This window comes from Homo sapiens, chromosome 22 (assembly GCF_000001405.40).
Source record: "Homo sapiens chromosome 22, GRCh38.p14 Primary Assembly".
NCBI classification, from domain to species: Eukaryota; Metazoa; Chordata; class Mammalia; order Primates; family Hominidae; genus Homo; species Homo sapiens.
In genome coordinates, this window is record NC_000022.11 from 37798743 (window position 1) to 37807489 (window position 8747).

The window sequence follows — 8747 nt, forward strand, 5'->3', positions numbered from 1 at the left end:
TAGCCAGGATGGTCTTGATCTCCTGACCTCGTGATCCACCTGCCTCAGCCTCCCAAAGTGCTGGGATTACAGGCGTGAGCCACCGTACCCGGCCTTTTCTATTTTTTTTTTTTTTTTGAGACAAGTTTTCACCGTGTCACCCAGGCTGGAGTGCAATGGCGCAATCTTGACTCACTGCAATCTCTGCCTCCCAGACTCAAGGGATTCTCCTGCCTCAGCCTCCCAAGTAAATGGGACTACAAGCATGTGCCACCACGCCCGGCTAATTTCTGTATTTTTAGTAGAGATGGAGTTTGCCATGTTGGCCAGGCTGGTGTTGAACTCCTGACCTCAGGTGATCTGTACGCCTCAGCCTCCCAAAGTGCTGGGATTACAGGCGTGAGCCATCACTCCCGGCTGCAACATATTTTCATACCTTCTCTAATAAATGTGCCTTTCTTTACCTATAACTGTCTTGGTAAATTCTTCTTACTCCTGGGCTACTGGCCTCAGATAGTTGCCGCTCACCTGAGACAGGGGTGACAAGACGGCTTATTCATAGAAAGCATAATGACCAAATTAGAAGAACTGGGATATCCATCACCTTAAACATTTATCTTTTCTTTATGCTGGGAGCATGCAAATTATTCTCCTGTAGCTATTTTTGAAGTATACAGTGGGTTATGGTTAACTGCAGTCACCCTACTGATCTATGGAACACTATGTCTTATTTCTTCTAGCTAACTGTATATTGTACCCATTGATCAGCTTCTCTTCTTCCTCCCCTCCTTGCTATCCTTCCTGGCCTCTGGTAACCACCAATTTACTCTCCATCTTTGTGAGATCCACTTTTTTTTTTTTTTTTGAGTCGGGGTTTTTTAGTAGAGACGGGGTTTCACCATGTGAGCCAGGATGGTCTCCATCTCCTGACCGCGTGATCCGCCCATCTCGGCCTCCCAAAGTGTTGGGATTACAGGCGTAAGCCACCACGCCCAGCCTTTTTTTTTTTTTTTTTTTGAGACGGAATTTTACTCGTTACCCAGGCTGGAGTGCAATGGCACGATCTCAGCTCACCACAACCTCCGCCTCCCGGGTTCAAGCAATTCTCCTGCCTCAGCCTCCCAAGTAGCTGGGATTACAGGCATGCGCCACCACGCCCAGCTAATTTTGTATTTTTAGTAGAGACGGGGTTTCTCCATGTTGGTCAGACTGGTCTCGAACTCCCGACCTCAGGTGATCCTCCCGCCTCGGCCTCCCAAAGTGTTGGGATTAGAGGTGTGAGCCACTGCGCCAGGCCGAGATCCCCCTTTTTTTTTTTTTTTTTTTTGAGATGAAGTCTCGCTCTGTTGCCCAGGCTGGAGAGTGCAATGGCGCAATCTGGGCTCACCGCAACCTCCACCTCCTGGGTTCAAGTGATTCTTCTGCCTCAGCCTCCTGAGTAACTGGAATTACAGGCGCCTGGCACCACGCCCGGCTAATTTTTGTATTTTTAGGAGAGATGGGGTTTCACCACGGTGACCAGGCTGGCAAAGATCCACTTTTTTAGTGTTCATGTATGAGTGAAAACATGCAATATTTGTCTTTCTCTGCCTGGCTTATTTCAGTTAATATGATGACCTTCAGTTCCATCTGTGTTGTTGCAAATGACAGGATTTCCTTCTTATTGGTGGCTGAATAATATTCCCTTTGTTTATATACCACATTTTCTTCATCCATTCATCCATTGATGTGCGCTTGGGTTGACTCCATATTTTGGCTATTGTGAATGGTGCTGCAATTACCATGGGAGTGCAGATATCTCTTCAATATGCTGATCTCCTTCCTTTTGGATATATACCGAGTAGTGGGATTCATCTGAACCATTTTTTTTTTAGACTAGTCAAGTTCAGTAGTGAGAAGGGAGCAAAAAGTAGAACAAGGGGCCAGGCGTGGTGGCTCATGCCTGTAATCCCAGCACTTTGGGAGGCTGAGGTGGGTGGATCACTTGAGGTCAGGAGTTTGAGACCAGCCTGGCCAACATAGTGAAACCCCGTTCCACTAAAAATACAAAAATTAGCTGGGCGTGGTGGTGGGAGCCTCTAATCCCAGCTACTCGGGAGGCTGAGGCATGAGAATTGCCTGAACCCAGGAGGCAGAGGTTGCAGTGAACCGAGATCGCGGCACTGCACTCCAGCCTGGGTGACAGAGTGAGACTCCATCTCAAAAAAAAAAAAAAAAGTTAGCCGGGCGTGGTGGCGCACACCTGTAACCCCAGCTACTCAGGAGGCTGAGGCAGGAGAACCGCTTGAATCCAGGAGGCGGAGATTGCAGCAAACTGAGATCACGGCACTGCACTCCAGCCTGGGCAACAGAGTGAGACTCCGTCTCAAAAAACAACAACGAACAACAAAAAATACAATTGCAAACCACCACCATTTGACACTGCCTATATCCACCCCCAACCCTGCTCCAGTTGTTTCTTTGCAATTGCCACTTTCCAGCATACTATATAATTTACTTTTTTTTTTTTTTTTGAGATGGAGTTTTGTTCTTGTCGCCCAGGCTGGAGTGCAATGGCGTGGTCTCAGCTCATTGCAACCTCCGCCTCCCTAGTTCAAACGATTCTCCTGCCTCATTCTCCCAAGTAGCTAGGATTACAGGGGCCCCCCACCACGCCCGGCTAATTTTTGTATTTTCAGTAAAGACAGGGTTTCACCATGTTGGCCAGGCTGGTCGCAAACTCCTGACCTCAGGTGATCCACCCACTTCGGCCTCCCAAAGTGCCGGGATTACAGGCGTGAGCCACCGCACCTGGCCTAATTTACTTCTTTATGTAGTCTATTGTGTATCTATCTTTTCCAGGGAACCTCAGCTCCACAAGGGCAGGGCTCTCTTGTCACTTTGGTTTATGGCCATATCACAGAGCCCATCCCAGTGCCTGGCACATATTAAGGAATGCATTAGGATTCCAAAACCAGCCAGGAGCGGTGGCTCATGCCTGTAATCCCAGCACTTTGGGAGGCCGAGGCGAGTGGATCACGAGGATAGGAGTTCAAGACCAGTCCGGCCAAGATGGTGAAACCCCGTCTCTACTAAAAATACAAAAAATTAGTTGGGCGTGGTTGTGGACACCTGTAATCCTATCTATTCGGGAGGCTGAGGCAGAGAATTGCTTGAACCCGGGAGGCAGAGGTTGCAGTGAGCCGAGATCGCGCCACTGCACTCTGGCCTGGGCGACAGAGCAAGACGCCATCTCAAAAAAAAAAAAAAAAAAAAAAAAAGATTACAAAGCCCAGAATGCCACAAGACCACAGGTGGTGCAGTGAACAGGGCATTGCCTTGAGAGTCTATCATCCCTGGGCAAGTCATTAAACATAGGGGTGGGGGTGGGAGCCTCCTGTCTGTAACGTGGAGGTGTCACGTGCCAAGGGCTCAGGCACACGCGCGCGCACGCACAAACACACCCATTAGTAAGGACACGACCCCTGGCATTCTAATGCGATTTATACTTTTCCATGAAGGAATTCATTTCCCCCTCTCACTAACCCCAGAGACAGGTAGAGCCGACAGGTGGAAGAACTGAGGCCCGAGAGAGACAGCGGGGGACCCTCCCCGCGCCACGGCACAGCAGCTGTCCGACCCCCTCCTCACGCCCGGGGGGCGCGACGGCTGCCGAGGGTCGCGGGCAGGGGGCGCGGCGCCGGGGACTACATTTCCCAGGAGCAGTTGCCGCGGTTCCGCCGTTCCTGGGGTTTCAAGAGCCTCGCGTTAAAGGGGGCGGGGGAGGTTGCGCAGTCCGCCAGCTGGAAGATGGCTCTGCGCCCGGTGGGGACCCGAGAGCCGCCTGCCTGGGTGCCCAGGCGGGGTCCGGCTGCAGTGAAGAAGCCCCCCAGCTCTGCAGTGTCCCTGAGGGGAGGCGAGGCGAGGCGAGGCGAGGCGAGGCCAAGCCAATTGGAGGCCGTCTTTCCTCGTCTTGCCCGCCTCGGCTTCGGCCTCTGCGCCCAAGCCCCAGGGAACCCCCTCCCTTCCCCTCCAACTCCCCGGAACAGGGGAAGGGGCGGTGAACCTCGCCGCCTGGCGGGAGAAGGGGTGTCCACTAGCTGGAAGCCCCTGCAACCCGAGGCAACCCCTTTCCCCAATTCTGGCTTCAGTTCCGGGAATTTACAGGTCGCTGGGATGGGCGGGGAGAAGGGACAGGAGAGATACAAAATGAAATGAACGCCCAGGTGTCAGGGAGCTGAGCCTTACAGTACCCCGCCCCCAATCCATCCTTCTAAGTCCCGGGCCTCCGCGGTAAAATAGGGGTGATGGGGATAGTGATCAAAGGCAGGAGGCGCAAAGGATCCAGAAACCGGTGGGGAGCACTGTGCAAACTGTAAAGCGCTGTGCAAATAAAATTATTGATCGTCGTGTCATTGGATTCATCCAGTCTTTAAGACATGCACGGATCTGGGGCGGGGGATGGGGTGACATGGTTCTGGGCTCTCAGGGTGGAACATCTCGGATACGGGGAGGGGGGGCTATTTGGGTGCGTATTAACCCAACCAGGTCTTAATGGGAACCCGAGTTGTCTTTGAAAATAACCAAAACAAAGCCACCAGAATGTTGTGTTTTCAAATGACGAAACTTAAGAGAAATTGACACCATCAAAAGACGAACCTTGACCTTTTGAACTAACCTGACCCCCCATTGCTTCCCTTCCCCGCCTGTGCCACGGAGATAAGCCCAGAGAGAAGGCATCTGACACCGAGTCTTGCGCTCCCCCTCCCCCTTCCTCCCCTAATCATTTGGATTAATCCATCCCTTGGCGTGCGGGGGAAACCCATTAATTTGTCCTGGCTTCAGAGACTCCCAGGTCCAGTAGGAGCCCTCCCACACCCACGCAGCTACGATCCCGTCCCCAACATCAAAACCCTCGAACCCCTCCCCTTTACCCCTCCCCAGTAGCCCACTGTGTCTGCAAACAGCTCTTGGACCATACCGGGATGCGTTCATCATTTTGACCAGCAACAAACTCCCACTCCCAGGGTATTGTTTAAGTGAACAGTGACCGGCCTCTATGCTTAGGGAATAAAAGCGGGGTTGTGGGAGAGGGGCCCAGGGAGCAAACGTCGCAGAATCTCAGCCCAGGGCCGCTGCCAAGCGGACCCGGCACGTGAGTAGGAGGTCGGCCGCAGACAAGGGGTCCTAGGGTCTCTGAGGTCTCTCCTGCTGGCCTCTGGGCCCCTAAAGCCCCTCGAGCTTCAGAACTCCCTACAGACAGTGGCGCCCCGTGTCCGCCTCGTCTACACCTGCCAAGCAGCACGGGAAAATCTGTGTGCATTTTAACAAAGACATCGCATCTTCCCAGCAAAATGGCGGTGGTCGCGGCCACGGCTCTCTAAACAACTCCACACTTTCCGAGGACAGGTCACAACCCAAGGGACATAACCCCCTCCTCGACCTCTACCCTAGCGCCCCGCTTTCCCAAGTCCCCAAAGCACTCAGGGCCTCTCCTCATTACAGGGGCCCCCCGGACCGTCCCTGGTTAGAGCTTCTGGGGCAGCTTCTCCATTGTGGACCGCCCTCCCCCGCCCCCACATTGCCTTCAAGGAGCCTTGGGACGGGGACTGAACCCCCAGGCTGGGCCTCACGGATGGGGGGCAGCGAGTTCTGTCTCTGACACCCCAAAACTTCCAGGCTAAGAGAAGCACACAAATGAATTCCCGATTAGGGTATATGGGAGATGTAGGGGTCTTTGAGGAGAAGAGGCCACCCGGGAGGCCCTCCTCATCTCTCAGAGGGTCCGGGCAGCACTGGGGGTTCGGCCTCAGGAGGGAACCTCAAGGCAGAGGTCGGGGGGCGCGCTGGGGGAGAGACGGCAGAGGAGGGGGAAGGGACAAAGTTTGAAAGTACCCTTCCAACTCTTTCAGGGAAAGTTTCCTTGGGGGCCCCATGGACAGAGGGGGTAGAGGTGTGGAGGGACCGGTGGCGGGGTGACCCCCGAGAGGTGACCGGACCCCGGGGGAGCGACCCCTCCCCCCTGTCCCGGCTCGGCCCGGCTGGGAGTCGCCCAGCTCGGGGCCGCGTGTGTTAGTTGGGGCCGCTTTCCGGCAGCTCCACCGGGCTAGGGGACCCCGCAGCGGGCCGGGAGCAGAGCCCCCGGTAGCCTCAGGGGAGAGCTTTGCTACGGGGGGTTTCCCGCACCGAGGCTCCCTAGCCCCGCAGAGCCAGCCCCCCGCAAAGGGGAAATGTGCCGGCACACCAGCGGTCCTCGGCGCCGTTTGGGGTGCGTGGCGGGCGCGGGGGGCGGCGGCCGGGCCAGCGGGCCGCCCGGCGGGGAAGCCCAGGGAGCCAGGCAGCGGCCCAGGGCGGCGGCGGGGAGCAGGAAGGCCCGGGCCGGGGGGAAAGGTCGGATTTGCTCGGCGGAAGAAACACAGATGGCGGCGGCGCAGCGCCATTCCGGGCCGGGAGCAGGCAGCCAGCAGCCCTGTCCTCACCGCGGTCCGCCCGCCGCCGCTAAATACCCGGATGCGCCGCCCAAGCGCCAGACGCGGAGCTGGGAAAAGGGAGGCAGAGGAGGCGGAGGCAGAGGCAGAGGCAGAGGCAGAGCCCGAGCCCGGTGCCGAGACCAAGCGACAGACCGGCGGGGCTGGGCCTCGCAAAGCCGGCTCGGCGAGCTCTCCCGACACCCGAGCCGGGGAGGAAAAGCAGCGACTCCTCGCTCGCATCCCCGGGAGCCGCACTCCAGACTGGCCCGGTAGTCAGGGGCTCAGGAGCAGATCCCGAGGCAGGCTTTGCTCAGCCTCCGACGAGGGCTGGCCCTTTGGAAGGCGCCTTCAACAGCCGGACCAGACAGGCCACCATGACCGAGAATTCCACGTCCGCCCCTGCGGCCAAGCCCAAGCGGGCCAAGGCCTCCAAGAAGTCCACAGACCACCCCAAGTATTCAGACATGATCGTGGCTGCCATCCAGGCCGAGAAGAACCGCGCTGGCTCCTCGCGCCAGTCCATTCAGAAGTATATCAAGAGCCACTACAAGGTGGGTGAGAACGCTGACTCGCAGATCAAGTTGTCCATCAAGCGCCTGGTCACCACCGGTGTCCTCAAGCAGACCAAAGGGGTGGGGGCCTCGGGGTCCTTCCGGCTAGCCAAGAGCGACGAACCCAAGAAGTCAGTGGCCTTCAAGAAGACCAAGAAGGAAATCAAGAAGGTAGCCACGCCAAAGAAGGCATCCAAGCCCAAGAAGGCTGCCTCCAAAGCCCCAACCAAGAAACCCAAAGCCACCCCGGTCAAGAAGGCCAAGAAGAAGCTGGCTGCCACGCCCAAGAAAGCCAAAAAACCCAAGACTGTCAAAGCCAAGCCGGTCAAGGCATCCAAGCCCAAAAAGGCCAAACCAGTGAAACCCAAAGCAAAGTCCAGTGCCAAGAGGGCCGGCAAGAAGAAGTGACAATGAAGTCTTTTCTTGCGGACACTCCCTCCTGTCTCCTATTTTCTGTAAATAATTTTCTCCTTTTTTCTCTCTTGATGCTCACCACCACCTTTTGCCCCCTTCTGTTCTGACTTTATAAGAGACAGGATTTGGATTCTTCAGAAATTACAGAATAATTCATTTTTCCTTAACCAGTTGTGCAAGGACAGCAACAACCAATCTAATGATGAGAATGTACTTATATTTTGTTTTGCTATTAACCTACTTACGGGGTTAGGGATTTGCGGGGGGGGCTTGTGTGTTTTGTTGGCTTGTTTGCCATGAAGGTAGATGTGGGTGGGGAGAAGACACAAGGCAGTTTGTTCTGGCTAGATGAGAGGGAACCCAGGAATTGTGAGGTTAGCAGGAATATCTTTAGGGTGAGTGAGTTTTCTTTGAGTTGGGCACCCGTTGTGAGAGTTTCAGAACCTTTGGCCAGCAGGAGAGAGGTGGTAGGGAGCAGCCAGCCGGCAAAGGAAGGAGGGGGAAAAAAACCGCCACCGGGCTGACTTCCACCTCCCAGTGGTGAGCAGTGGGGGCCCAAACCCAGTTTCCTTCTCATTTTTGTTAGTTTGCGCTTTCGGCCTCCCTATTTTCTTAGGGAAGGGGAGTGGGGTCCAAGTGACAGCTGGATGGGAGAAGCCATAGTTTCTCCCAGTCAGCTAGGATGTAGCCATTGGGGGATCTTTGTGGCTTCAGCAAATTCTCTTGTTAAACCGGAGTGAAAACTTCAGGGGAAGGGTGGGGAGTCAGCCAAGTGCCTCAGTGTGCCCTGTTGAAACTTAGGTTTTTCCACGCAATCGATGGATTGTGTCCTAGGAAGACTTTTCTTTTCCTCTGGATTTTTGTTCCTCCTGTACAAGAGGTGTCTTTGCTTGGTTTGGTGGGGCTGCGGCCACTTAAAACCTCCCGATCTCTTTTTGAGTCCTTTATTATAAGTAGTTGTAGCTGCGGGAGGGGGAGGGGGAGTGGGCGGGCAGTGGATAGTAAGACTTACTGCAGTCGATTTGGGATTTGCTAAGTAGTTTTACAGAGCTAGATCTGTGTGCATGTGTGTGTTTGTGTATATATACATATCTAGGGCTAGTACTTAGTTTCACACCCGGGAGCTGGGAGAAAAAACCTGTACAGTTGTCTTTCTCTTATTTTTAATAAAATAGAAAAATCGCGCACTTGCGCGTCCCCCCCCCACCCCCTTTTTTAAACAAGTGTTACTTGTGCCGGGAAAATTTTGCTGTCTTTGTAATTTTAAAACTTTAAAATAAATTGGAAAAGGGAGAAACTGAGCGGTGTATTTTTCCTCACTTTGAAGACTGGAGAATGAATGCGGAGCGGTTAG

The 8747-nt window shown here is 54.5% G+C and overlaps 1 protein-coding gene across 1 annotated transcript, besides 5 other annotated features; it reads left to right on the forward strand.

Moving 5' to 3' along the window:
* Positions 3332-5228: a transcriptional cis regulatory region, noted in NCBI's record as "candidate enhancer chr22.1789 targeted for multiplex CRISPR interference". NCBI's record gives its function as "positively regulates GCAT gene expression in K562 cells {active_cell/tissue: K562}" and the evidence as "EXISTENCE:mutant phenotype evidence [ECO:0000015][PMID:30612741]".
* Positions 3631-3680: a silencer, noted in NCBI's record as "silent region_13698". NCBI's record gives its function as "represses an Ori minimal core promoter by ATAC-STARR-seq in GM12878 lymphoblastoid cells {active_cell/tissue: GM12878}" and the evidence as "EXISTENCE:reporter gene assay evidence [ECO:0000049][PMID:35858748]".
* Positions 4540-4834: an enhancer, noted in NCBI's record as "tiled region #8034; K562 Activating DNase unmatched - State 1:Tss, and HepG2 Activating DNase unmatched - State 1:Tss". NCBI's record gives its function as "activates a minimal TATA promoter and a strong SV40 promoter by Sharpr-MPRA in K562 cells, with weak activation in HepG2 cells {active_cell/tissue: HepG2 | K562}" and the evidence as "EXISTENCE:reporter gene assay evidence [ECO:0000049][PMID:27701403]".
* Positions 6487-8690, forward strand: H1-0 (H1.0 linker histone). The gene has a single exon (NM_005318.4). It carries the CDS (start codon positions 6803-6805, stop codon positions 7385-7387), a length of 585 nt encoding a protein of 194 aa, NP_005309.1. The 5' UTR covers positions 6487-6802; the 3' UTR covers positions 7388-8690.
* Positions 6573-6652: a silencer, noted in NCBI's record as "silent region_13699". NCBI's record gives its function as "represses an Ori minimal core promoter by ATAC-STARR-seq in GM12878 lymphoblastoid cells {active_cell/tissue: GM12878}" and the evidence as "EXISTENCE:reporter gene assay evidence [ECO:0000049][PMID:35858748]".
* Positions 6883-7578: an enhancer, noted in NCBI's record as "H3K27ac-H3K4me1 hESC enhancer chr22:38201632-38202327 (GRCh37/hg19 assembly coordinates)". NCBI's record gives its function as "activates a minimal SCP1, AML or CMV promoter by ChIP-STARR-seq in primed H9 embryonic stem cells {active_cell/tissue: H9 hESC(primed)}" and the evidence as "EXISTENCE:reporter gene assay evidence [ECO:0000049][PMID:30033119]".
* Positions 8691-8747: the final 57 nt, after the last annotated feature.

Excerpts from the sequence above, each read along its gene's own strand:
- H1-0 (NM_005318.4), top strand. The coding sequence starts at position 6,803 with ATGACCGAGAATTCCACGTCCGCCCCTGCGGCCAAGCCCAAGCGGGCC.